The following is a 26841-nucleotide window of genomic DNA, read 5'->3' as shown; positions in this document are numbered from 1 at the left end:
ACCCACGTCCACGGGGCCTGCAGTGGGTCCCGCCCTCCCCCAGCAGCCCACTCCGCTGCTGCAGCCCCTCAACCTTTTCTGCTGCCAGCCCCCTGCTGTGGCTGTTTGGTTGCCACCCTCATTTGGGGCAGGCCTTGCTCTCTCCCTGTGATGGGGAGGAATGAGGTGGGAGGCGGGACCTCTCGACCATGGGACGCCTGCTATGTCCTGGTCTCAGAGTCAGTCTTGGTCTTGGGAGGATAACACAGAAGGGACAAGAGGGCTTTTTCCCTACAAAATTCCGCACACTTGTCATTCCAAAGGGCAGGTGAGTTTGAGCCAGCGGGGCTGCAGGCGCTCTCACGGAGGGAGCCGGGTCCTGCACGCCTGCCTTTGTTTGGGAGCAGCACAGGGAGGGCCCACGGGAAGAGGCAGTCTGGGGACCAAGCTCAATGCACCTCCCCCACGAGACTGCATCTCTGGGGTTTTCTTCTTGGTCCAGGGGCACCCCAAAACCCTGCCGTCCAGCCCCCTTCTTTGTGGGATTTGTTCTCCTCTAACAGATGGCAGGAGCAGCATGTCAGGGGCATTCTGTAATTGTTGGCTCTCTATGGCTTTTTTAATTCAGCAGTTAATGTGTTTAACTGAAGACACACAAATACACTGTCCATCATAATCCGACACGCGCAGTGCTAAGAAATAACTTACCTTCCCCACCTGCCCTGGAGGCTCCTAATCCTTTTTCCTTTCTAACTAAAGCATGGGTTTCATGCCTTCATGATGCCCCAGGCTTCCGTCTAATCCCTAGAAGCTGGGGAGCTCCCAGGGGTGAGCTGTTTCCAATAGGAAGAGGCAGACCCCTGAAAACGGGGTTCTCCTTCACCCCACCTGCCGTCTCTAGTCTTCTCCCAAGAAGACACCTCACAACTTGCACCTGGGAGGCCGTGGGAGTTGCTAGAAGCTGCAGGCTATTCTTCCTCAGTTTGGACCCACAGGACTCGGGGTACCCTCTGTCCCCAGGCCTGCAGTGAGGCTTCAGTAGAGGGGCCAGGTGTGGGAGACCCTCATTTAGGAAGCCTTAAATAAGATGAGACTTTGTAACAAGTAAATTGATTTACATTAAAGGCTGGAAAGGGAGAGATCTCCTCCCCATCTCATCAAAAAGAGAAGGAAATAAGCCATCAGTAAGCCATCTTCCTGCCCTCCTGGCTCTGCTGTCTTCCCCGGCCAGGGACAGGATGAAAGTCACACTTTCCAGATCCCAGATAGATGTGTGTTTGCCAGGGAGGCTGTCCACACCTGAAGGCTGGGGCCCCAGCCCTGCCGGCCCCATTCCCTGGGACTGGCCACCCTGTCTCCCAAGGGGCAGAGGGGCCTTTCAAGTCTGCTCTGTGCCCAGCCACCTGATGGGGAGTGCACAGCTGCCCTTCACGCCCTCCTCCCATGGAGTGTCCTAACAGGCAGACTTCTCCGTCATCTTTCCCGTTGGGGTTAATTTGTTGATTTAACCTCTCATTCAAGTCGATGGGAGATTGTTCTGGTTTCATGGCACTTAGTTCACAGCGGCTCCTTTCTCTGAATCACTTTTTGAAGTTCGGTTGGGGCGGTTCCTGCCGGCACCGCTGCCTCACCTGCAGGAATGCCTTACCCTTCCTGCTGCTAAGATAAATAAGGCAGGCAGGTCACGGCCTTTCCAGCGCCCATCCTGTCTGAGACAGCAGAGACACCCTGCAGTGCATCACTGACCTTTCTCAACAGCCAAAGGTCAGTTTGGAAGACCAAGAAGCTAGCACCACAGAGACGGGTGATGGGCTTGGGCCCTGCACCCTCCCACCCTGTTTACTGGGCTGAGGGTGTTCGTGGACCTTACGAGGTCTGAGCAGGTGGTGAATAAATACGGCCCCGTGGCTTCCGCAGGGCTGTCTCCAGCTGCCCTTTTCCTTCCTTTCTGGCAAGCACCTCCGGCGCTCCACATGTAAACTCACCACGGGTGAGGGGCTCCTCAGAGCATCTGCCCCTGGGCCAGGCTTGGATTCCTCAGCTCCTGTGGCTGCCTGGGACACTCACAAGCCACCCAACCTGGACCCTGCAGTGCCTGGGGAAGAACTGGGGTGGGGAGCACCCTGCCCACCTTGCCCCAGGCCCTGTACCCTGCTGCGCACCCCAACCCAGGCCCTGCACTATCCGCTTGGGCAGAGCAGCAAAAGTCAGATGATGCATCTCCCAGATACCAGCCTCAGTCATCCCAGAAGACGAGGCTTTCGTGGTTTGTTCATAAGAATGAACTCTCTTTTCTGAGATGATTTCTGAAGAGGGGGTCAGTAGATTCGGGGAGGAGCTTTGCGGTGGGTCTCGGGAATCCTGGAGCCTGGGGCCCTGAACAAGTCACTTAGCTGCTGTGTGCCTCAGTTTCCCTACTTACCAAAGGAGTAAAATGTGCTGCATCTGGCCAACATTCTTTTCTGGGAAAACATGCAAGGAGAGGAAGTGTGTTACTGAGCACGGCGAGAAGCCCTCGCAGTGCTGACGGACAGCAGGGACCTCCTGGGGACCCAGCGGGCACCCCTGGGCTCCTTCCAGCAGACACCGGGTTTCTTTTTGGATTTCAGCCAGGAGGGGTCGGGTGGCCGAAGGGAGAGAGCAGAGTACAGGCTCGATGGTGGGGGTGGAGGCTGAGCATGGAGCAAGACCCCGGCTGGCCACTCACTGAGCAGCTTGGCCTCTGAGCCCAGACTCCTCATCCACAGACTGGGTGTTGCGGCCATCGCAGCCGAGTCGGTAAAGGGCCTCGCCTGGGTCTGTGACGTGCAGAAAGGGATCAGTCGGTGTTGCTGATTGTGCAGAGGAGGACGTGGAGGAGAGGTGGGCAGCCCTAGCATTCCCGGACATGAAGGCTGCATGTGAACATACGTGTGCAAGCATGTGCCCACTCACATCCACACAGGCACACCCTCACACAGCACCCACGTGTCTCACACTCACGCCCACATGGTGGAATGGGTTGACCTATGGCGCACAGGTGCACTTCCTGCCGTATCTTGAAGGCTTTTTGCGTGACTGTTTTATAACTTGTGTATTTTAACAGCTTTATTGAGATATAGTTTGCATACTGTAAAATATATTCCTCTAAAGCGAAATGTTTCATAAACTTCAGAGCATTTAGGAACTGTGCAGCCATCACTGCCATCCGACCACCCCCAGAGGACACCTCGCCCCTCTGCAGTCCCTGCTGCCAGCTCCCTGGCCCCGAAGATGCTGCCTTTGCTGGATGTCTCGGAATGGAGCCCGGCCTTTTGCATCCAGCTTCTCCCTTGCAGTGGGATGTTTAGTCCTGTGCCTGTGTCAGTTCTGCCTTCCTTCTCACCACGGAACAGCATTCCCACATTGTTTTCCAAAACCTGTGCTTTGTGGACCTAGAGCTCCGAAGCTTGAGTTCTAGAATGTTCTCAGCAGGCCTCTATCTATCTCATGATAGAGGATGGAAACCAGCCGTCCAGAAGAAGAGAGAGTTGGGCCGAGGAGGACTCCAGGGCTCAGCCATGAGGAGATCTGGGCGGTGGTCTCCTCTTCCTCGCGGCCTCTGCCCGTCCACTGCCCGGCCCTGACATCACGAACGTGGCAGGCCAGCCTCTTCCATCACGAACAGGCCAGTCGAGAAGACAAGACATTCAGAGGTGGGGTCAGTGTTGGGGCCCGGTCACGCCTCTGCCTTCTCAGGGTGCAAAGTTGTCTTCTTGATGAGCTGAGGACAGAGGTTCTGGTGTCCCCTCAGTGCCCTGGCGGGAGGTACTCATGGCGACCACCCTTGCCTTGGAGCCTCAGCACGTTTTCAGGAAAAAGCCGCGCTCTCCCAGGAATACAACGGGGGCTTCCCAAGCCCAGCTCTCCCTGGCACTCAGATGGACGGCGGCCTTCACTGGAGGTCTGAACCTCAACGGTGTGGCCCTGAGACTCTGGGTGGGAAGGAAGGAGCTGGGGCCAGGGACGTCCTGCTTTGACAAGAATCCATTTATTGTGTTTATCAATACAAATGTGGAGTTTCCATTCCTTTTCCTTTTCTTCTCACTAATGATGTTTGGAGCTCATTGGCCCACGGTCACCTGTACACACCAGCGCCCACACACACCAGCGCCCACACACACCAGCACCCGCACACACCAGCGCCCACACACACCAGCGCCCGCACAAACCAGCGCCCGCACACACCAGCACCTGCACACACGTGGGGAACCATCGCTTTGATCATTAGTGCACCCAGCACAACTCCCCACCGTGTCCCCGGCTCTCCCCACCGAGGGGTCCTGGTGCCTGTTGTCCCCTCTGTGCTGTGTGTGCCGGTGGTGTTCTGCCACCCCCCAACCCTGGCCCCTGCCTGCCCTCTGCCACTGTCCTGCGCCCAGGCATCCTGAGAGGTGCAGCTGCTGCCGCCCTTCCTGATACGCCGGCACTGTGACTCCAGGCAGCGGCTGAGGGCACCCGGCACAGGGACGAGCTGCTCAGGCGCCAGTGGCACAGGGCCATGAGGATCCAGCCTCTGCTCTCTGGGGCTGTTTTTTTTTGTGGTTTTTTTGCCATTTTTAAAACTTTTTGTGCTCTCAGCTAAAGGGATCCCCACATCTTCCATAGTGAACAGCTCTACGTTTGCTGTGGAGAGAAAAGAGACCGCCACTGCTGTCTTGGGCACACATGTGTGGCCTCGAGGGTCTGGGAAGGGTCTGGATCTGAGCGGAGGGAGGGAGGGAGGGAGCCAGTGTCAGTCCAGGGTCCGGGGGAGGTGAGGCCTAAGCCTCCTAAATCTTCTCAACCCACCGGGCCGGGCCTTAGGGCGGCTGGAGTGCGAATTTCCTAAACCCACCGGGCCAGGCCTTAAGGCGGCTGGAGTGCGAATTTCCTAAGATGAACAACGGCCCGTCCGGAGGTCCAGACCCCTTACTAGAGGAAGGTCCCAGAGCATCCCAGACTCCATGGCAGGAAACTGATGGAGCTCACGGCTGAGGACAGAATTCCACAGCCCAGGCCCGTGGGAACTGCCTCTCCTGACCTGCAGCGCCCAAAGGTCTGGGTGGTCCCAGGGCCAGGCAGGATCCTGGGGTCCCTTCCCCACCTAACACTGTGCCAAAGAGCTCGAAGGCGTTGCTCATCTCTGCTGAGCGGCCTCAGGGGTTCCAGGCCCTGCGGGAGATGTCCCCACCCCTCGTGCTGATGCACCCGGCTGCTGTCCACGCAAGCCAGGACCCCCTTCCTGGCCTTCCAGCTGCTGCAGGCAGGAAGGGATTTGCTGGCCCTGGACAAGGAAGGAAGTGTCCTCAGTTTCCAGCCCCTAAAGGGAGCCAGGGTCCCTCCTGGCAGAACCTGTCCAGGAACGGCAGCTGTGCTGCTTCCTGAGGTCGATAACAGATGCCACAGGAGGTGTGTGGGGCAGGGTGCCCACCCAGGCTGCCTTCCTCCCGCCCTCCTCGTCCTGCCCTGCTGCTGCTCCATCTTCCCCAGCAGCCCTGGCTCTGGCATCTGTGCCCATGGGGTTTGCATAGCCCTCTCCACATTATAGAAGAAGGAGCAGGCACCCTGAGGAGATAGGGGTTGTCAGGTGGAGGAGTTGGGTCCTGTCTCCCCCAGCCTGGTTCTCACGGGGCCCACACCGAGGCTGGCTGCTGAGCTACCCTGCATGGGAGTGCTGCATGGCGGGTGCCCAGCCTGAGGTTGTTTATTTGCATTCCTGGCGCCCTCCACACACCCAGCTATTTGCAGCTCTGACCCTTGTCCTGGCTTGGCCATGCTGGATTCCCAGCCCAGGCTTCCCTCTCAATTCCCTTCCCAGTGAGAAGCTCGGCAAGGGCGGGTCCCGGAAAGCACAGCTGTGATCTGGGAGGTGCTGAGCACCCACCTGCGACCCATGGCGGGGGAGGGCCGAGTAACGACAGCATGGCGGTGCCCCCGAGAGGGAGGGGCATAGACCCCGCCCGGACAAACCCTGACACGTTCCCTCCTTCAGGGGCGCGATGTATGGAACCCAGTCCTGAGAGGCCTGCATGCAGTCAGCAGGAGCCGACCCTGGGAATGGACGCGATGGCCTCGGAACACAGGGATGTCCTCGTGCTGCTGCCCAGCCGGGAGCAACTGCGGCTGGCCGTGGGGGTGAGCAGGGCCCTGGGTGGCCGTGGGGGTAAACAGAGCTGTGGGGGTGAGCAGGGCTCCGGGTGGCCGTGGGGGTGAGCAGGGCCCTGGGTGGCCGTGGGGGTGAGCAGGGCCCTGGATGGCCTTGGGAGTAAACAGAGCCATGGGGGTGAGGAGGGCCCTGGGTGGCCATAGGGGTGAGCAGGGCTGTGGGGGTGAGCAGAGCCATGGGGGTGAGCAGGGCCCTGGGTGGCCGTGGGGGTGAGCAAGGCTGTGGGGGTGAGCAGGGCCGTGAGGGTGAGCAGAGCCGTGGGGGTGAGCAGGGCTGTGAGGGTGAGCAGAGCCGTGGGGGTGAGCAGGGCCGTGGGGGTGAGCAGGGGTATGGGGTGAGCAGAGCCTCAGGACACAGCCTGTGTATGGAAAGTCCCTGGACCGCCTCACTCTGCTTAGGCCAGGTGTCTGTGAGGTGTCAAGGGCCAGCCCTTTCACTGGGCCTGTGAAGGAAACATCCCTGATAGACGTTGCTGTGAGAAATAAGTTTATGGTTCAGCACATCCTTCCCGGGAGGGAGCGCTGAGGGAAGAGCGCCAGGAAGCCGGTTTCCAAGGAGCAGCTCCTGTCTTGTGTTCAGACGTCACCATCTCTATGCTTCTCTATTTCCTTTTCTTTTCCCTTTCCCCCATTTTGTCTACCTGTTTTAGTTGAGTTCATGGCGACAGGAGTTGAGATGGTACTTTCATTTTAATGATTAATGTGGATAATGAAAATGTGGCAATTAAAATGAGAGTGGTTTGTTGAAGAACGATGACTTTCTGCATAGCTAATGTATCATTGCTACCTGGAATGGAGTATGACTTGCTAGTAATATCCTGGTTCAAGTCCCCTGGGAATCTGGGAGTCTCTTGTCTGCTTCGGGATAGAGTTCTGTGTTTACGTAAACGCCCACATCTATGTTTGTGGCAAAATCTTCCCCAAGACTCTGTGTCCCCACCCAGCAACGAGAAGCTGGAGTTGAGCTAATGGGGGATGTCCTGTAGTTTCCTGGGGTCCCCAGCAGTGCCTCGGGCTGGGGGAGGGGTCATAAGAGGACCTGTTGTGGGGAAGATGCTGGGGCTTTGGCCCCCTACCCCATAAGAGCTGGAACTTTTAGGTTTCTTGCACGGAACTTCACGGTAAGATTTTAACTGAGGGATCATGCAGCTAGAACATAGTGAACCGCCTGTTCTGAACAGGTGAATCGTGCTCATCTGCTTTTGACGGAGCTCCCTGAAGTGCCTCTGCAACTCCTGTGGCCCCTGCTGGGCCTGGCAAGTTGGCAACCACAGAGCCACTTCCTATCGGGGTGTGCGCACATCTGTGTCTGCAGTTGGACAGGAACCCCTCACTGGGTTGTGCAGTCATCTATGTCTGCAGTTAGACAGGAACCCCCCCACAGGGTGTGTGCACATCTGTGTCTGCAGTTGGACAGGAACCCCTCACTGGGTTGTGCAGTCATCTATGTCTGCAGTTAGACAGGAACCCCCCCACAGGGTGTGTGCACATCTGTGTCTGCAGTTGGACAGGAACCCCTCATTGGGGTTTGCAGTCGTCTATGTCTGCAGTTAGACAAGAACCCCCCCCCATCGGAGTGTGTGCACATCTGTGTCTGCAGTTGGACAGAAACCCCCTATTGAGGTGTGCACACATCTGTGTCTGCAGTAGGAGAGGAACCCTCTATCAGATGTGCATGCATCTGTGTCTGCAGTAGGAGAGGAACCCTCTGTTGGTGTGTGCACACATCTCTGTCTGCAGTAGGACAGCAACCCTCTGTTGGGGTGTGCATGCATCTGAGTCTGCAGTAGGAGAGGAACCCTCTGTTGGGGTGTGCATGCATCTGTGTCTGCAGTTGGACAGGAACCCTCTGTTGGGGTGTGCACGCATCCGTATCTACAGTTGGACAGGAACCCTCTATTGGGGTGTATACTCGTGTGTATCTGTAGTTAGACAGGGAACGCTCTATTGGAGTGTGTGCACACCTGTGTCTGCAGTTAGACAGGAACCCTGTATTCAACCAAATATGTGTCAAGCCCAGTTATTCGAAAGGGATGGGCTGGGAAGACCCTCACTGAAGATCTGTGTTACCGTCATTGTGGGGCCTGCCCCTCACCAAGTTAAGCAGACAATAATCATATTAGTCTGTTCTCACGCTGCTAATAAAGACATACCCAAGACTTGGTAATTTATAAAGGAAAGAGGTTTAATTGACTCACAGTTCCACATGGCTGGGGAGGCCTCAGGAAACTTACAGTCATGGCAGAAGGCACCTCTTCACAGGGTGGCAGGAGAGAGAATGAGTGCCCAGCGAAGGGGGAAGTGCCTTATAAAACCATCAGATCTCATGAGAACTCTCTCACTATCATGAGAACTGGATGGGGGAACCACCCCCGTGATTCAGTCACCTCCCACCGGCTCACTCTCACAGCACAGGAAGATTATGAGAACTACAATTCAAGATGCGATTTGGGTGGGGACACAGCCAAACCATATCAATAAGGAAGTCAGTCTTACAGTAACTCAGGATTAACTCAGGATTAGTAAGCTGGATACTCATTTGACTTGAAACATGCAAATGAAGAATCGCAAAATGGCCTCCTGCAGATCCAGCTGCCCCAGCTGTGCCCTGCTGTGAGGTTTCCTCTTGGAGCCCCAAGTGAGGGTCCTCGGGAGAGTCTGAGAGCAGAGCGCACGGCAACCGTCCTGCACCCTCCGTCACAGGCTTGGCGCCCTGCGATTCTGCCTGAGAACGCTGCCTCTGCTGCCCGGTGACCAGGGATGGGCCCCAGCGCTGCAACAGACAGGACTCAGGAAGAGCTCTGCAGGGGATGCCCGCCAATCCCATCCATGCCGGGGCTGAACAGGCGTGAAGTAGTGTCACATGCGAGACGCCGGAAATGCGGACACGGGACACCGGAAATGTGGACACCGGGCACCGGAAATGTGGACACCGGGCACCGGAAATGTGGACACGGGACGCCGGAAATGTGGACACCGGGCACCGGAAATGTGGACACGGGACGCCGGAAACAGGGACACGCACCAGACGCTGGGTGTTTAGAGGCTGCCGTGAGAGGCTCAGCTGTAGGAACACTGTTGGGATCACTCGCATCAGTTGGGCGATGGATGATGTGAGACACCGATGCTCGCGCTCATGGGGAACCAAGCATTCATTTGTGCCGTGCGAGGACAGAGCCCAGAGGGCGGCCCTGGAGTTGACGCTGCATCGTGTGTCCCTGACTGGTCTCGGGAAATCCTCACACCAGAGACAGACAGGGATGGAGGGGGCAGCCCTGATCCACTGTCCAGAGCACCCCACCCCCTCCACCCTCACTTCCCGGCACTCACAGGTGCTCTGATGGGCATGCAGCGGTGTTTAGCTTTGGGAGAGAGTGAGAGACCCAGACCTGTTACCTGCAGGGGATGCCTGACTGGGTCGTCCACCTGGTGCCCCGCTGGGCCTCGTTTGCTGAGGTGGCCTCCCTGGGGACAGGTGCCGGCCCCTCCCTGAACCCCTCCCCACCTCTTTTGCAGGTGAAGGCTACTGGCCGCGAGCTTTTCCAGCAAGTGTGCAACGTGGCGAGCATCAGAGACGCGCAGTTCTTTGGCCTCTGTGTGGTCAGAAGTAAGCATCGCTCAGTCCCCACCTGCAGGAATGCCCAGGGGCCGCATCTGCTGGAGGTCAAGGGGGTGGGCACACCACACACATCCATAATGTACACAGTTATACACCACTCTCATATGTACACATGCACACACCATGCACAATGCACAGTTACACACCACTCACATGTACACATGCACACACCACACACATGCAGGTACACACCATTCGCACCATGTACACATGCACACACCACACACATGCACAGTGCACACAGTTACACACCACTTGCACGTGTACACATGCACACGCCACACACGTGCAGTTACACACCACTCACACTTGTTCACATGCATGCAGCACACACATGCACACAGTTACGCACCACTGACATGTACACATGCACAAACCACACACATGCCCACAATTACACACCACTCACACGTACACATACATACACCACACACATGCACACACACACCAGTCACACATGTACACATGCATGCACCACACACATGCACACAGTTACACACCAGTCACATGTACACATGCACAAACCACACACATGCCCACAATTACACACCACTCACACATACACATACACCACACACATGCACACACACCAGTCACACATGTACACATGCATGCACCACACACATGCACACAGTTACACACCACTCACATGTACACATGCACAAACCACACACATGCACACAATTACACACTACTCACATGTACACATACATACACCACACACATGCACACACCAGTCACACATGTACACATGCATGCACCACACACATGCACACAGTTACACACCACTCGCACATGTACACATGTGCGCACCACACACATGCAGTTACGCACCACTCACACATGTAAACATGCACACACCACACCTGCACAATGCCGATTGTGCTGTTCTGGGGGGCAGTTGGCTCCAGGGGCTTCTGGAAACCTCTGTACAGTAGCAGGACCCTGGATCTATGTGAATTCGTACCTGGAGTTCTAGTACACGCAGACGGCAGGTGGAGGGGAGTGGGGCCGGTCCCCTGGGCTCCACAGACCCTGCAGCTGGATTGTGTCGCATGGAAGAGCCGTGAGAACCCAAAGTGCTTCATGTGCACTTTTTGCTGCCCCAGGAAGTGAGTGGCAGCGCCTGTATCCAGTCTCACTAAGGACTGGTGGCTTCTCATCTATAGTGGGGGCTTGAGGTTGGCAGCACAGACAAGCCCTGGCCCCCTCTCCCCAGCCAAGCCGAGGGAGGCTACATGGGGCATGGACAGATGGAGATGAAGCTCAGTGCTGACCAGCGGTGGCTGAATATCCCCCTGTCTTGCTGCCTGGGGAGGACAGGGCTGAGCTGACCTCTCCCAAGCTCTCCCCAGAACAAGTTGCCCTCTGTCTAGGGGAGTGAGTGAGCCGGGGACCCTGCACGGGACACCGGAACCCACACTCCATCCTCCCAGTGTCTGCAGCGCCTTGTCAGGGGCTGTGAAGGGAGCGTGAGATTTTAGGATCCTTTTGGACGAAGCCATCTTGCTGTGACCGTCCTGTGTGGTGCCCTGGGGTTCCATCCTAAGTTTCTCTTCCAACCATCGTGAGTGTGGACAGAAGCCAGCCTTTCCCTCAGCGCGGGTGGCCCCGGCCCCTTCTGTGCCTCAAAGTAGAGGCGAGAGTGCCCCTGTCTCAGTCTCCTCCTTCCCTAATCTCCGCCTGGAGCAGAACCCTAGCTCCATCTCAGGGCTGCTCTGGGGGCTGTGGGACCCCTGGGCGGTGTGGAAGGAGGACCCTGGGGGGCAGAGGGAATAAGATGGGGTCCAGCAGGCCAGCCTTTCTGATGTGACCTCATGCATTTAGACCCAGTCCTGAGTCCCCCAGGGGACCCTGAGTGGACACCATGAGCCCCTGAGGGCAGGTGTGGATCTGGGGCTTCCTGTGTCAGACTCTCCAGGCAGGGTGGGGAGCAGGGAGAGCTGGAGGGCGCCTCCCTTTGCTGCTGTGTTTGTCAGGCAGCCCCCACCCGATTCCAGCCTCCAGCAGCTTCACTTGGTGTTGCAGGGGGGTGACTGGGGGTGGGGAGGTGGGAAACTACACCCAGCACTGGGCTTACACCCGGGAGCAGCAGATGTCAGTCTTGCTGTCAAGGTTGAATACTGGTGGACTTTTCCCAGTTTTCAGGGAAGTTCTAGCCCAGTTAATATGTTTGTCCACAGCTGCCATTCATGCCACCCTGTGCAGGAGCCCAGTCAAAACACGTAGCTTCCCAGACCCTGTGCCCCCATGGGAACCTGAGCCATCTGAGGGCTGTGGACAGAAGTCTCCAGGCCCCACTTTTAATCACAGTGAGAGTCACTCAGGGGAGGGCGGGATGTTGACTTTGGAGAGTCCAGTTTTGCTATTCGGTTTTGTGGTTGGTGTCATCTCTCTGTGATTTTAGAAATGAAAAGAAAATTAGTCTGGACAGAATGAGGGAAGAAAGTTCAAGCGTCCCAACCCTGTTCTTGGCATCTTTTATTTCTTAAAGGCTTAAAGTCTCTTTAACAGCCAAAAAACAAATCGAGGGCGGGGTGGGGATTGGGGGGAATTCAGGGGCTGCCCGCAAAACCCGGGCCAGGACCCATCGCTTTGGTTGTGCATCATGTTCATCACCGCCGGACGTTCACCGACATGTTGGAGCCGCCGTGTTTGGGGGGCGAGCTCTGGTCCGCGCTCCACTCTGCCTCGTCTGTGCCCAAGTTCTCGGCACTGAGGCTTCCCTGCTCTCCCAAGGCGAGAAACGCCCCAGGGCATCCCCCTCCCTATGGGAGGCCCTGCACAGGGCGGGTCGCTGTGGTTGAGAGGGCCTCTGGGAGACGTGGTTCGCAAGGCGACCACGGGTGTGAGGGCACGGGGAGTTCAGCCCTATCCGGAGTTCAGGCACAGCCCCTGATGTCCCCGAAACCTAGAGACAGCAGGTGGTGTTGGGGGGTTCTGAGGGTGGAGTGTGGGGGTCCCCCAGAGGTCCAGTGGCAGCTCCTTGGGGAAGGACCTCCCCTCCCAGCAGGGGGTGCAGGGCAGGGCGTCTCTCCTGTTGCCCAGGAATCCATCACCCAGGCGGGGCAGGTTCCCGGTGGCCAAGGATTCTCCCGGTTTATGTGCTGATGATCCTCGGTGTTGGGGAATTGCAGACAGGTCATGAAGTCGGCAGCCCCGGCTTGGACGCCATCGGCTGGCTTCTAACCCTGTTTCCCTTTCGACTGAGGCACAGTGTCCGTGTCATCAGCTGCCCAGATGCTAAGGGGAGAGCTCACGGGCATTTGCCGTGTGTCTGAGCACAAGGGCCAGCAGTGGGGAGGCCCGGGAGGCAGGAGGCAGGGGTCCTTGAGTCCTGAAGGTCAGCACAGGATGAGGGCCTGCAGCGCTGGGACAGCCTTGAGCAACAGGAGGGGCTGGGAGGGTGGCCTGGAACAGCTCCCACTGGCGGCCAGGCAGGTGCACACAAAGGGAGATTACTGGCTCATCAGCCAGTGTTTGCCTTGTCTTTACCCTGCGGAGGGAGTTCCCAGGTGGGAGGGCTTTCCGACTCCTGCCAACCAACCCTTTCTCACGTCTTTCTTGATGATGTCCCCTTTCTCCCTGTCCCCTTGACACTGGACATTTGAGACAGCCTGTGGCCGAGCTCACTGGCCTCAGGGACAAGAAAGGAATCTGGGGTCACCTTTCCTCCTGGTGATCCAGGAATCCGCCTCTGCAGGAGGAGGACAGACTCAGAACCGGCCCCTCAACCTCCCTGGCGCTGCGGTTTGGCACCTCCACCCAGCAGAGCCCTGTGGCCCCAGGGCCTTCTTGACCCGAGGACACCCTTCTTGGTTCTGGCCAGAGCCCTTGCTTTGGAGATTTGGACTTTTTATACGGGAAGTGCTTGGATTTCTTACTTTAATTATCTCTTAAGTTGTAAATTGTGTACATTTTTGAGACATTTTGTGAATTGTGTACATTTTTGAGGCCTGTAGCAAAAAACAAGAGATGTGATTTGGGGCTTGGATATAGAGGCAAGGCAAAATAAGACAGAGACAGAGAGGAATAGAGAGAGAGTGGGCTCCACCTGGCCTGGCCTTGGCCCTCGCTGCCTGGAGCTTGCTCCTGTGGCAGTGAGCAAGGGTGCCGGTGTCCAGCCCCTTGGCCAGCCCTGCAGGAGTCTCGTGCTGTCACACCAGTGTCAAGGGTAGCAGGGCACAGTGGGGAAGTTCAGGCCTTTTGTTCAATCAACAGGCACCTGTGGACTCCATGGTGTGTCCCGATCTGCCTGCCACGAGCTGAGAGGATGACTCTCACTGGGAAGAGAGTGAGGAGGCTCTAGAGGGTGCATGTAGTCCCCACCCTGCTGGGTTCAGGGGAGCCTGTAGCCAACGCCAGAATCTCCCCTTCCAGCAGCAAGATGCCGGTCCTCCAGCAGACAGTCATGTGCCAGTCAAGGCTCTCCAGAGAAGCAGGACAAGTAGGACGCGCACGCACACTCCTGACAGATGTATGCGTATGTGTATGTCTGTATACACGTATCCTTCCGATCCCATTTCTCTCTACAGATAGTGTGTGTGTGTATAGATACATAGAGGGAGAAAGAGAGAAGCTGATTTATTGTAAAGAACTGGCTCATATGATTGTTGGAGGCTGGCAAGTCTCAAATCTGCAGGGCAGGCTGGAGACCCAGGGAGAGCCACTGTTGCCATCTTGGGTCCGAGGGCCATCGGGAGACGGAGTTCCTTCCTCCAGAGGGGACCTCAGTCTTTCCCTGTTAGTCCTCCAACCGACTAGACAAGGCCCACCCACAGTATGAAGGTCATCTGCTTTGCTCAAAGTCTACTGATGTAAATGTCTCCCTCCCTCCCTCCCTCCCTCCTTCCCTCCCTCTCTCCCTTCCTTCCTTCTTTCTTTCCTTCCTTCCTTCTTTCTTTCCTTCCTTCCTTCTTTCTTTCCTTCCTTCCTTCTTTCTTTCCTTCCTTCCTTCTTTCTTTCCTTCCTTCCTTCTTTCTTTCCTTCCTTCCTTCTTTCTTTCCTTCCTTCCTTCTTTCTTTCCTTCCTTCCTTCCTTCATCTCACTCTGCCACCCAGGCTGGAATGCAGTGCTATGATCATGGCTCAGGTGGATCCTCTGGCGTCAGCCTCCTGAGTGGCTGGGACTGCAGATGCATACCACCACAGCCAGATACCTTTTGTATTTTTTTGTGGAGTCGGGTCTCATTATGTTGCCCAGGCTGTCTCAAACTGCTGGGCTCATGCAATCCACCTGCCTCTGCCTCCCAAAGTGCTGGGATTACAGGCATGAGCCACCACACCCAGCCTGAGTGTCGCCTTCATCTTAAGAATGTCTTCACAGTGACATCTAGACTGCTTTGACCATACAGCGGGGCACTGTGGCCGGGCTAAGAAGGGTGCGCCCATCACCAGAGGTGATGATGTCTGCTGTCCCACTGCTAGGGGTGCAGGGGTTTAGGGGGACAGTGATGATTTTGAGAAACAAGTGGTTTCATCTTCTAGATCGGTGTTGCCGCAAGTATTGTTCTCGTAGTGTTTGAGGTTAAGTCCTAGGAAGTACTAAGCTTAAGGAGTTCATTTTCTGTCCTCCTTATTATGATTTGAGATGGAGTTGGTAAGGATACAGTGGGGTGATTTAGGTAATGAATGTACAAATAAAAGGCCTTTTGCTGACCTTACCGAGGCAAAGGTAACCCCAGATCCTTTAGCGAACATTGCTAAACATCTGCCACTCATGCTGCAAACACTGAGTTCAAGCTCGAGTACCCAAATAGTGAATTCGGGGGAGTCAGGACCAGAGAATGGTGATCTAGACCTTTTCACTCGGCATTTGCTTAGACCGGGCATTGGCAGACTTTTTCTGTAAAAGGCCACATAGTAAATATTTTGACTTTGCAGTACGAAAGCAGCTATGGACATGATGTAATAGAATGATTGTGGCTGTCTACCAACAAGATTTTATTAACAAGAGCGAGTGGGTGCTGGGGTTTGGCCTGGGGCCCTGGTTTGCTAACCCCTGGCTCTGAGGGTCCTTGGCCTGTTATGGGGTGGGGTGGGGACTCCCCTAGACTCTGCAAGTCTGGGCCTCCCTGTCTGTGAGATGGGGGTAGATAACAGTGCCATCAGGTTGAAGATGTAGGGATTGGTTCAGAGTCTTTAACACAGAGCATGGCACCCAGTGTCTAAGCAGTGAGTTGCTGTGGTTGTTACCGATGAGCCAAGTGTTTGATCCTCCCTGACACAAAAGTAAACTGGGGCTGGTGACACCTTGGAGCCTCCCCCTGGGTCTAACGCCGTCTAGAAGAGCCAGGTACTAAGGATTAGAAAGACAGGCAGGGCAGAGAGGGGCTGAGCCAGGCACCCGGCCCTGTGATGCCCTTTCTGCAGGCCTCTGTGGGTAAGTCTTCCTCACTGGTGTCTTCATTTATCTGCAGATGTGCTAGCACTTGGGGATGGAGTATCTTCATATGTAATGCAGGTGGCTGTAAGGGAGTACTGCCTTATCAGGGACTAACTTTTCCCTGTGGCTTTTATTCTCAGGACTGCAGGTTTTCTAATATAAATAAGAGTAGACTGTGCTCTGTATCCACGGGTTCCGCATCCTTGGATTTAACTAACCTCATGTTGAACATACTCAAAATAATAACAATAAATAGTACAACAATAAAATAATATGAGCTTAACAACACAGTACAACAAAGACTTCCACAGCATTTACATTGCATCAGGTATTATAAGGAATCTCAAGATGATGTAAAGTGTACATGAGGATGTGCATAGGGTACATGCAAACTCTACACCATCCCCGGGTTTTGATATCCGAGGGGAGTCCTGGAACCAGTTCCCAGCAGACACGGAGGGATTGTACGTTGCTTTAAGTCGCAGCAGGAATGGTGTCTCTCTAGGCTTTATTTTCCTCTCTAGGAAAATTGTTTAATTTTTCCAGGCCATAAAGAAAACACATGCTGGTAAATATTTTTAAAATATAGAAACACCTAATTTAGAAAGAAGCGTCTCTTATAGTTTCCAGGGAAACCAGGTTAACAGGTAAAGCTGGGATCATTGACTTGAAGTTGATCACGTTGGTACTAGATTATAGACATCTCTATTTTTATTGATTGATTGCTTGATTGTTTGAGGCAGGGTCACACTCTTATCACCCACACTGGAGTGCAGTGGCACGTTCATAGCTTTCTGCAGCCTTGAACTCCCAGGATCAAGCAATCTTCCTGCCTCAGCCCCCTGAGTAGCTAGGACTACAGGCATGCACCGCCACACCCAGCTAATTTTTTTTTTTTTCCTGTGGTGACAAGGTCTCATTATGTTGTCCAGGCTTGTCTTGAATTCCTGGCCTCAAGCAATCCTCCTGCCTTGGCCTCCAAAATTGCTGAGATTACGAGGTTGAGCCACCGCATCCAACCCTGACATCTCTATTTTTTAAACGACTCATTCCATAGCTGAGAGAGGGGTGCCTGGGTTGCAGAGGAAGAGGGTAGGGATACATGTTGCTAAGTTGCTTTCCCAAAGGGCGTGCCCGGAGCATGTGCCAGTTTTGAATATCAGCTTGTAATATTCCTACACGTTGGAACATTGTTTTAGTAAGCAAGCATTTGACACCTGCATGTGTGTTAAGATGCTTTCTGCGTTGTCAGCCAAGGAAAGCCCCATATGCAGCGTCAGCTGCAGACGCACAGTTTTCAGCTGTGCATCTCTTCTCTCCAAGCCACACTCAGTTTTGAACACACGGTGACACCTGAGAAGCATGGTGACTGCTCTGATGAAGCCTTTTGTTTTGCTTTCAGACAATGAGTATATATTTATGGATTTGGAGCAAAAGCTCAGCAAGTACTTCTCAAAAGATTGGAAGAAAGAAAGAAATGAAGTAAGTGTAGAGTGTCGGGTGGGAGAGGGCAGGCACCGCGGTGGGCTGTGCTGGGCCACGGGGACACGTGGGGTGGGAGAGAGCAGGCACCGCGGTGGGCTGTGGGGGACCGCGGGGATGCGTGGGTTGGGAGAGAGCAGGGCACCACGGTGGACAGTGGTGGGATGCGTGGGGTGGGAGAGGGCAGGCACCGCGGTGGACTGTGCTGGACCAATGTGCTGCCTTCTGTCCACGCAGCTGCTCCGTCCAGAGGGGCTGTCCGCAGGGGGACTGTGGTGAGCCCTGAGGCTGCAAGCAGGTGTGCCCGCCCGAAGCCCGCCTTTGCAGATGTTCTTGAACGCTGTAGACCACGTCCCACTCAGGGTTCTCCGGGTAGAAAATACCATGAGTCGAATTGTCAGCTATGGCTGCAGACACCTGAGCTTCGACTTTAAGCTGAGTGTGAAGCAATCCAGGCCCCCCCAACTGGGAAGACAGGACAGCCAGCGGCACCTCCCTGCGGCTCACTTGCTCTTTCTTGCATTTTCCCCACTAGGGAAATGAGAAACCCAGAGCCCCCTTCGTGGCCTTCCTCCGAGTGCAGCACTACGTGGAAAACGGAAGGGTCATAAGGTAACGGCATGCGGACTGTAAGGGGTGTTTCCTGGAATACTGAAAATCTGCCGCATGACGTGGAAGTCCCCTGAAGGCCACACATTACATTTGAGTTTATCCAAAAACAAAAAACAAACAAACAACCCCACTATATCGGCTGTTTGCTTTGGGGTTAACACAGGAATTCTATTTAATCGAAAGGTATACAGACTGTGTCATAAATTGGTACTTCTTTTTCTTTTCTTTTTCTTTTTGTTTTGTTTTGTTTTGTTTTGAGACGGAGTTTCACTCTTGTCGCCCAGGCTGGAGTGCAATGGCACAATCTCGACTCACTGCAACCTCCACCTCCTGGGTTCAAGCGATTCTTCTGCCTTAGTCTCCAGAGTAGCTGGGATTACAGGCGGGCGCCACCACACCTGGCTAATTTTGTATTTTCAGTAGAGACGGGGTTTCTCTGTGTTGGTCAAGCTGGTCTCAAACTCCCGACCTCAGGTGATCCACCCGCCTCGACCTCCCAAAGTGCTGGGATTACAGGTGTGAGCCACCGTGCCCGGCCTAAAGTGGTACTTCCTCAAATGCCAGGACTCGTACTCTCTAGGGTGGGTATACCATCCGGGGGTGGGCGAGGCTTCTGGAGGTCGCTGGGCTAAGGGCTGCTATGCTTGCTGCGTGGCGGTTCTCGCTGTTCACTGCCCACTCTGCAGGTGTCTAGTGGGAAGCTTTCCCCGACAGGAGTGGGTAAGTTGTACATCTGGTGGGCTGCACTCTAAACCAACGGGGGCTGCTTCTTCCAGAGCTGCCTTAGAGCTTCTAGGGTAACAAAGACGTCCCTCAGGAGGATCCTGAGACTTACTTCCAGAACAGAGCTTCAGGGGTGCGTGAACAGGGTTTACCCTGGGGGAAAACCTAAGGGGGTTTCCCAGGAATTCCCTAAGCAGGCACAATCCCTGCCAGTTCCAAAAGGCATGTGTGCGGTTGTGTGGAAGGTTCTAGGGGGTGAGGGGCGTGTGGTTGTGTGGGAGGGTTCTGGAGAGTGAAAGGTGTGTGGTTGTGTGGAGAGCCCTGGAGACACTGGTATGTGGTTGTGTGGCAGGTTCTGGAGAGTGAGGGGTGTGTGAATATGTGGAAGGTTCTGGATAGCCTTGGAGGGGAGGTCTGGAAAGTGTTGGGTTGATGGATGGAGCTACCTGGTGCTATGGGGCCAGTTCGGGGGAATTATATGAGAAGATCTTGCACCTGCATCTTGGGCGAGCCTCCACCTGGCCTGTGATTAATGAATACCAGCCATGGCCAAGCCCCGTGCTGGGCGGTGAGCTCTGGGAGCCAGGTCTGTCCACATCCAGGGATTCAAGTTGTCCAGGCCCTGTGCACCTCCAGGGATTCGAGTCGCCCGGGCTCTGTGCACCTCTCCTGCACTGGGGCTTGGTTTGGTGAAGGCCAAGCTCACTGGGGAAGGAGTGGGACCTCGGCAGGTGGAGCCTCATCTAGTGGCTCCTTGGTGGCAGCAAGTCACCTGTGCCCCGCTCCAGGAAGAGTGTGGGCCTGTGCCGTGCTGGCCCTGCAGGGACACAGCTGTGGGTATAACAAGACAGGAACTAGGTACCAGGGGCTCAGGACAGCCCTGGGAGCTGGTGTGGGGAGGGACAAGGCAGGGCCAGAGGGGCCAGCAGTCCCCACACCGGTCGTCCTGGAACTCACTCCCTGCCACCTTCCAGCGACCACAGGGCACGGCACCTGTACTACTGCCACTTGAAGGAGCGCGTGCTGAGGTCACAGTGCGCTCACCGGGAGGAAGCCTACTTCCTGCTGGCTGCCTGCGCGCTGCAGGCTGACCTGGGCGAGCACCGGGAGTCGGCCCATGCCGGGAGGTACTTCGAGCCACACTCCTACTTCCCACAGTGGGTAAGGTCAGGGCCCACCTCCTCCCAGCACTGCTAGTCTGGTGCCTGTCCACCTCCACCGGGTGCCATCCATGGGAGCAGGGGACTGAGGGCCTGGCAGGGGCTGCTGGAGCAAGGGTCAGGGATGGAAACAGGGCAATCACCTGTCCTTCTGTCCTGAAGGCCCAAGGGTCCTTACCACCCCCAAAGGCAGGCAGTGTGGGAGGAGTGGCCCTGAGCAGGCAGGTGTGGGTGCCTGTGCTCCTGACGCACCCAGCCAGCTGTGTGGCCTTGCACTCTGGCTTCACCTCTCTGAGCCCCTTGGCTGCCTGGCTGTGGAATGTGACCCACACGGGCCTTGTGGCTGTGAACCTTCCTGCTTCTCTCTAAGTATCCTGGGACCCGTAGGAGTCTCTGAGCCTCAGCTTCCTCACCTGTAAGGGAAGGAGTGGCATCCCCCTGGGAGGAGGGCCATGGAGAGGCGTGGGCTGTACCACTGTGTGCCCAGTCCCAGGCGCTGTCTGGCCTGATGGCCGCGCGGATTGATGGCTGTCACCCCGGGGATGCAGGCCCTGTTCCGGGTGAACTTTAAGGTTTCTCTCCTTGACCGCTCATCCCTGTGTACCTCTCTATCCTGTGCACCTTGGGGCCTTCTCACCTTTGCTCTGAGGCAGTCGCTGAGGTCAGGGTGGGGCCCAGCCAGGCTTCCTCCCAGTGCTGTGGATGCCACACGTGCCCTTGGCCTCTGAGCACATTTCCACCCTCAGTGATTCCACGTCCCTGCGATTCTTACCCCGGTCCCGGTGATGGCCCCAGCTGGTCCTCACTGGGCAGGTTCCCAAGAGCCAGGGCTCGTTGGGAGTAGAGTCCCCACCTGCAGACGTCTGAGGAGGGCTGGCTGCTGCCATTCCCCTTGGGGAGGACCCGAGGGGGACAGGAAATCAGACAGGGCCCAGGGCCACAGTGGGCACTGAGACTTCATCTCTGGTTCTGGGCTCAGCAGCCAGGCCCTGGCCCTGCCCACCGAGGTTGGCACCAGCTGTGGGAGTCTGGGGAAGCTTCTCGGAGCAGGGGGCTGGCAAGGAGGAAGGGGGGACCAGCAGGGGTCTGAGCTGACCTCCCGGCTCTGTCCTCAGATCATCACCAAGAGGGGGATTGACTACATCCTCCGGCACATGCCTACCCTGCACCGTGAGCGCCAGGGCCTGAGCCCCAAGGAGGCCATGCTGTGCTTCATCCAGGAGGCCTGCCGGCTGGAGGACGTGCCCGTGCACTTCTTCAGGCTGCACAAGGTCGAGCCCAGGGCGGCCAGCGATGGGCTGGACTCTGACTCCAGGCCAGGGATGCACGGAGCCCCCATGGCTGAGTGGGATCAGGACCCCAGGGCAGGGATGGATGGAGCCCCCATGGCTAAGAGTGGGACCAGGACCCCGGGGCAGGGATAGATGGAGCCCCCATGGCTAAGAGTGGGATCAGGACCCCAGGCCAGGGACGGATGGAGCCCCCATGGCTAAGAGTGGTCAGGACCCCAGGGCAGGGATGGATGGAGCCCCCGTGGCTAAGAGTGGGACCAGGACCCCGGGGCAGGGATGGATGGAGCCCCCGTGGCTAAGAGTGGGATGGGACCAGGACCCCAGGGCAGGGATGGATGGAGCCCCCGTGGCTGAGTGGGACCAGGACCCCGGGCCCGGCATGGCCAGGCTCTCTTAGGTCGTGGCTGGTGTTTATCTGGCATGATGAAAGGCAGTGCTTGTGCTATGACAACTATGCCTTTGATCTGATGCTGGAGTGAATGAGACTGTCTGTAAATGGGCCCCAGAGCTCAGCCTGGTCCATGGAGCCCTCGGCCCCTAGCCAGACTGACCATACTCTGCCATCAGTGAGGCCCAGCACCTCCAGGCCTGCAACTTGACCTCTGACCTGTGTCCTCTAGGATAAGAAGGAAGGTCGTCCCACCGTGATCCTGGGACTGGCCCTCAGGGGAGTGCACATCTACCAGGTGACCGAAGGGGCTCCAGCCTCACAGAGCCCCTCGTCCTGCCCCCACCCCCTCCTCCCTTCCCCACTGGAGTCTGGGCTGTGTAGCATCCCTGCAGCGGTCATGGGCGCTGGCTGGCCCTGCCTGGACGCGCCCTGCCTCTGCTGTCCCGCAGGAGGTGGACCGTGCTCCGCAGCTGCTGTACGACCTCCCCTGGCCCCACGTTGGGAAGCTGGCATTTCTGGTGGGTGTCTGGGGGGTCCCCGTGCCCTGGAAAGCCTGGGCAGATGCAGCTTCATCCTCGGGGCATTTTCTGGACAATTCTGCACCCGAAGAGGTGCAGGTCCCTTCCTGCCGGCCTCTCGGGGGCATCAGGGCCGTCCTGGCCTCACGGGCTTTGTGCCTGGCCCTGGCCCTGCAGGCGTGGGGTGTTTAGCTGCCCGGTGAGGTCTAGTTGTTGTTATCGCTTGAAAACTTCTGGCTCCCAATTGAGAAAATCAAGGGAGAAAAGAAGAGCAGGTCATAGAAACGCACCTGTGTGGCCTCTGTTCCTCTCATCCCGGCCCCAGAGCTGTCACCCAGGGTCACCCCACAGCCCGGGTGCCGGGGATAAAAGGGCAGTGACTGTGGGGGCTGCTGGACAGCAGGCTTGCTCTGGACAGCCAGACCGAGGTCTTCCTGTCCCACCCCAGACCTCCACTCCCCTCACACTGCTGCGGGCACTTTCTAGCCAGGAGGGCTGTGTCCTCTCAAGCAAGGGCGGAGCAGAGCACAGTGTCCGCGCACAGTGTCCGCCAACAGCCATCTGCACTGCGAAGTGAAAACCTGGGCCTCGTCCCCCTGGGGGCCATGGCTGACATTTAAAATCATCCTTTCCTGTGGCTAGCGTGGTTTTCCACCTGTGGAGTGGCAACTTCTCTCCTGTTTGCTCAGGGAAAGAAGCTGGAGATCCAGCTGGATGGGCTGCCCGCAGCACAGAAGCTGGTTTACTACACGGGGTGCACCTGGCGGTCCAGGCACCTGCTGCACCTGCTGCGCGCCAGCCACCAGCTCCACCTCCGCGTGCGGCCCACTCTGCAACAGCTGCGGCAGCGGGAGGAGGCAGAAGGTGGGGCTGGGCTGGGTATGCTGGGCTCCGCAGCCGGACTGTGCCTTCTGGGCTAGGCTGGGCACACTGGGCTCTGGCCGGACTATGCCTTCTGTCTCTTATTGTTGTGGCCTCCTGACTCCCACGTCCCCCAGATGCTGAGGTCGAAGGGCGAAGTGGTGGCCCCCAGCTCTGCCTGGAGTGGAATTCTATAGATGGGACTGGGGGAAGCTGGGAGCTTGAGGAGCCACCTGAGGTTTCCACTTCTCAGTTTCCTGGTCTGTTTTCCACTTCTCCTCCCATCATGTGCCCACAAAGAGCAAGAAATGCAGGTTCCGACAAGGCCTCAGTGTTTACCCACAGGCCTGGTCTCCCTTCCTGTTCCACATCCTCACCTGAGCACAAGGCCTGGCCTTAGTGTTTACCCACAGGCCTGGCCTCCCTCCCTGTTCCACATCCTCACCTGAGCACAAGACCTGGCCTCAGCGTTTACCCACAGGCCTGGTCTCCCTCCCTGTTCCACGTCCTCACCTTGAGCACAAGGCCTCGCCTCAGCGTTTACCACAGGCCTGGTCTCCCTGCCTGTTCCACGTCCTCACCTGAGCACAAGGCCTGGCCTCAGCGTTTACCCGCAGGCCTGGTCTCCCTGCCTGTTCCACGTCCTCATCTGGGCTGTGGGTGTGCATTTCTGTCTCCCGGGCTCTTCCTCCTGCATCAGCAGGGCTGGTCCCTCTCCAGCTCGCCCTCACTGTGCTCCCCACTCCCCACAGAGAAGCAGCACTACCGGGAGTCCTATATCAGCGATGAGCTGGAGCTGGACCTGGCCAGCAGGAGCTTCCCGGGCAGTGGGGTCAGCAGCCAGCACTGCCCCCACTGCCTCTCACGCCACTCCGCCGACAGCCACGGCAGTTCCTACACGTCAGGCATCAAGGCCAACTCCTGGCTCAGGGAATCCAGAGAGATGTCTGTGGACGTGCCCTTGGAGGTCCACGGGCTCCATGAGAAGGAGCCGTCCTCCAGCCCCAGGACCAGCCGCAGCCACCCCAGCACACGTGGTGACAGCCAAGGTGGGCCCGAGGGAGATGCCCAGGCCTCAGGGACAGTGAGTGTGGTCCAGCCAGCCCCAGCTTGGCTGACCCTGGACACCGAGGCAGCAAAGCCCTGGCCTGCCCTCCAGTGGCCAGACGTGAGGGGCTGGGCTGCTTGTGACCTGAGTCCCAGGAAATGTGCCAGAACATGCCGGAAGAACAGAGATGGCAGGGAGGAGCTGCCTGCAGCCTGCTGTGCCCGAGTCTCCTGTTCCTGCCAAGGGGCAGCTGCAGGCTGGGATCAGAGACAGGAGAGGTGGGATCCTCTTGGGGTTGCAGATGAGTCCAGGTCCTTTAGCTTTCTCGGAAGCCCATCTCAGGAGCCCCTCCCACTCCTAGGAAGCCCCTGGCCCCTAGGAAGCACCCCCCCAACTCCTAGGAAGAACCCCCCTCCCAAGGAATGCTCCCCATCCCGGGAAGCCCCCCAACAAAACTCCTAGGAAGCTCCCCTTCCAGGGAGCCCCTCCCTCTCCCAGGAATCCCATCCCCACACATAGGAAGACCCCCACTCCTAGGAAACCCCCCACTCCTAGGAAGCCCCCCACTTCCAGGAAGCCCCCCATTCCTAAGAAGTCCCCTCACTCCTAGGAAGCCCCCTGGACTCCTAGAGACCCCCCCAACTCTTAGGAAGCCCCCCCCACACTCCTAAGAAGCCCCGTGGACTCCTAGGAACTCCCCCAACTCTTTGGAAGCCTTCTGACTCCTAGGAAGCCCCCCACTCCTAGGAAGCCCCCTACTCCTAGGAAGCCCTGTCCTACCAGCTTCCCTCCCATCAGAAAGCCTGGGTTAGACTCATGTCTTTTTATACTCAGTTGAGTAGGAGTGAGAAGACAGAGCCATTCAGAGTGTTCTAGGACCATGTGTCCACCTGGCCCAGGACGCAGCACCTTGTCCTGAGGGATGCACCCTGCCCATTCCCTGTGTGTAGGACTGTGTGTGCACCTGGCCCAGGATGCAGCACCCTGTCCTGAGGGATGCGTCCAGCCCAGTCCCTGTGTATGAGGCCCTGAAGAGCTTCCTCATTGCCCCAGAAAGGGGACGTGAGCTCTGCTGGTCTCTGAGTGTCCCCACGGCCCTGACGGTGGATGTGATGAGATCAGGTGGGACCAGCCCCAGGGCTCAGTCACCCAGGACCGCCCAGCATCACCTACAGTCACCCAGGGCCATCCAGGGTCACAAAACATCACCTAGGGCCTCCCAGGGCCAGGCATTCCTGTCACTAAGCCACTGTGTCCGCCATTGCCCTTGGAGTGTCTGGTCCACCAGGAAGGGATGGTTGGCCTCCATCTCTGAGGATGTATGCAAGCTCTGTGGCCTGTAACCCAGCGGGAATCACCGTGCTAATCCCGCATCTGCACAGCAAGGGGCCGTTTTATCAGATGTCGGGGAATGGAGCAAAAGCAGTCACCGCACTGAGAGCAAGGGGGCGGTGTGAGCCTCAGGAGATGCCGGTCCGAGACCAGGGCCCCAGAAGTGCAGGGAACTGCCCTGGGGAGGAGCCATGTCGGGCAGAACCCAGACACCTGTGCTCACGGCTGCCTCCTCCCACAGCCACTCGTCAGGAGCCCTGCACCCAGGTCAGGACCAGAGGCCAGAGCGCCGAGGCCGTGCACCAGGTAGAGTCCCCCCCACGGGCCAGAAGCCCTGGCCCTGCTCCTCCACCCCCTTCTCCTAGGTCCCCTGTCAGGGGCCCTGGGGACCTTCCTAGGCCTATCAGAGGGTCCCTCGACTGACATCCCCAGAGACGCAGCGGGCAAGTCAGGGAGCAGCAAGGCTCTCGGGCACTGGGGCAGGTGGACGTGGGTGGAGGCCTCAGCCTCAGGGCCGAGTGAGTCGGCTCACTGTGGGGAGGGAGGGGTCCTGCCTGGGGCTGGGGTGGCCGGGCCCTGAGTGTCACCGGGCCACTGTAGGCAGGACCCGGACACCTGGGCCCTGCAACCTGCCATGCAGCAGACTGGCTGCCCCGTCCCCTTCGTCCACCTCCTCCACCCGGGGCCTAGTGCTGTGTGTGCAGGGCTGCTCCAGGCTTCCCCCACTTCCTGTAGAGCTACTGAGCCTTAGGATCCCCCAGAGGAGCTAGAGGAGAAGCGAGCCAGTGGTTCCTGGATGCCCAGGTGGGGAACAGGTGGGCTCAGGGTTCCCAGCCAGGCTCCGAGTTGCCCTCCCCACCCCCCAACCCCCGCCCCCGGCTCCACCACAGGAGGGTGAGGCCCCCTCTGGTCAGCCCTGTTCAGAATCCCCCTGGAAAGACACAGAAAATCGGTTGTGGCTGATTAGTTATCGTGATGCTGGATGGAGAGAGAAGAGGGCTGGGCACGGGAGGCTGGATGGAGAGAGAAGAGGGCTGGGCACGGGAGGCAGATGGAGAGAGAGAACAGGGCTGGGCACGAGAGGCTGCATGGAGAGAGAGAACAGGGCTGGGCACGAGAGGCTGCATGGAGAGAGAGAACAGGGCTGGGCACGGGAGGCTGGATGGAGAGAGAACAGGGCTGGGCACGGGAGGCGGATGGAGAGAGAGAACAGGGCTGGGCACGGGAGGCTGGATGGAGAGAGAACAGGGCTGGGCACCGGAGGCTGGATGGAGA

General features: G+C 57.3%; 1 protein-coding gene across 13 annotated transcripts in view, besides 4 other annotated features; it reads left to right on the top strand.

The window, feature by feature from the left end:
* Nucleotides 1-26841, top strand: part of FRMD1 (FERM domain containing 1) — a 39962-nt gene that overhangs the window by 8061 nt on the left and 5060 nt on the right. Inside the window, exons 1-14 of one of the 13 annotated variants that reach the window (NR_110312.2) lie at nucleotides 3439-3653; nucleotides 5972-6114; nucleotides 9661-9751; nucleotides 17550-17629; nucleotides 17867-18241; nucleotides 18662-18757; nucleotides 19018-19097; nucleotides 19939-20125; nucleotides 21240-21395; nucleotides 22037-22102; nucleotides 22257-22325; nucleotides 23015-23189; nucleotides 23939-24235; nucleotides 25808-25872. Coding sequence is in view for 12 of the 13 variants with exons in the window: in XM_011536137.2 (XP_011534439.1) it covers nucleotides 3458-3653; nucleotides 5972-6114; nucleotides 9661-9751; nucleotides 17550-17629; nucleotides 18165-18241; nucleotides 19939-20125; nucleotides 21240-21395; nucleotides 22037-22102; nucleotides 22257-22325; nucleotides 23015-23189; nucleotides 23939-24235; nucleotides 25808-25872 (1602 nt within the window). In the remaining variant the exon portion in view is untranslated. The other 12 variants (XM_011536137.2, XM_011536138.2, XM_017011317.2 and 9 more) reach the window with 12 other exon arrangements.
* Nucleotides 1143-2142: an enhancer, noted in NCBI's record as "H3K4me1 hESC enhancer chr6:168483534-168484533 (GRCh37/hg19 assembly coordinates)". NCBI's record gives its function as "activates a minimal SCP1, AML or CMV promoter by ChIP-STARR-seq in naive H9 embryonic stem cells {active_cell/tissue: H9 hESC(naive)}" and the evidence as "EXISTENCE:reporter gene assay evidence [ECO:0000049][PMID:30033119]".
* Nucleotides 2143-3143: an enhancer, noted in NCBI's record as "H3K4me1 hESC enhancer chr6:168482533-168483533 (GRCh37/hg19 assembly coordinates)". NCBI's record gives its function as "activates a minimal SCP1, AML or CMV promoter by ChIP-STARR-seq in naive H9 embryonic stem cells {active_cell/tissue: H9 hESC(naive)}" and the evidence as "EXISTENCE:reporter gene assay evidence [ECO:0000049][PMID:30033119]".
* Nucleotides 6072-6793: an enhancer, noted in NCBI's record as "H3K27ac-H3K4me1 hESC enhancer chr6:168478883-168479604 (GRCh37/hg19 assembly coordinates)". NCBI's record gives its function as "activates a minimal SCP1, AML or CMV promoter by ChIP-STARR-seq in primed H9 embryonic stem cells {active_cell/tissue: H9 hESC(primed)}" and the evidence as "EXISTENCE:reporter gene assay evidence [ECO:0000049][PMID:30033119]".
* Nucleotides 25584-26085: an enhancer, noted in NCBI's record as "H3K4me1 hESC enhancer chr6:168459591-168460092 (GRCh37/hg19 assembly coordinates)". NCBI's record gives its function as "activates a minimal SCP1, AML or CMV promoter by ChIP-STARR-seq in primed H9 embryonic stem cells {active_cell/tissue: H9 hESC(primed)}" and the evidence as "EXISTENCE:reporter gene assay evidence [ECO:0000049][PMID:30033119]".

The sequence above is a fragment of the Homo sapiens genome, chromosome 6 (genome assembly GCF_000001405.40).
Source record: "Homo sapiens chromosome 6, GRCh38.p14 Primary Assembly".
Classification (NCBI taxonomy): domain Eukaryota; kingdom Metazoa; phylum Chordata; class Mammalia; order Primates; family Hominidae; genus Homo; species Homo sapiens.
The sequence above is the reverse complement of the archived record's forward strand: the minus strand, read 5'-3'. Positions and strand labels throughout refer to the sequence as shown.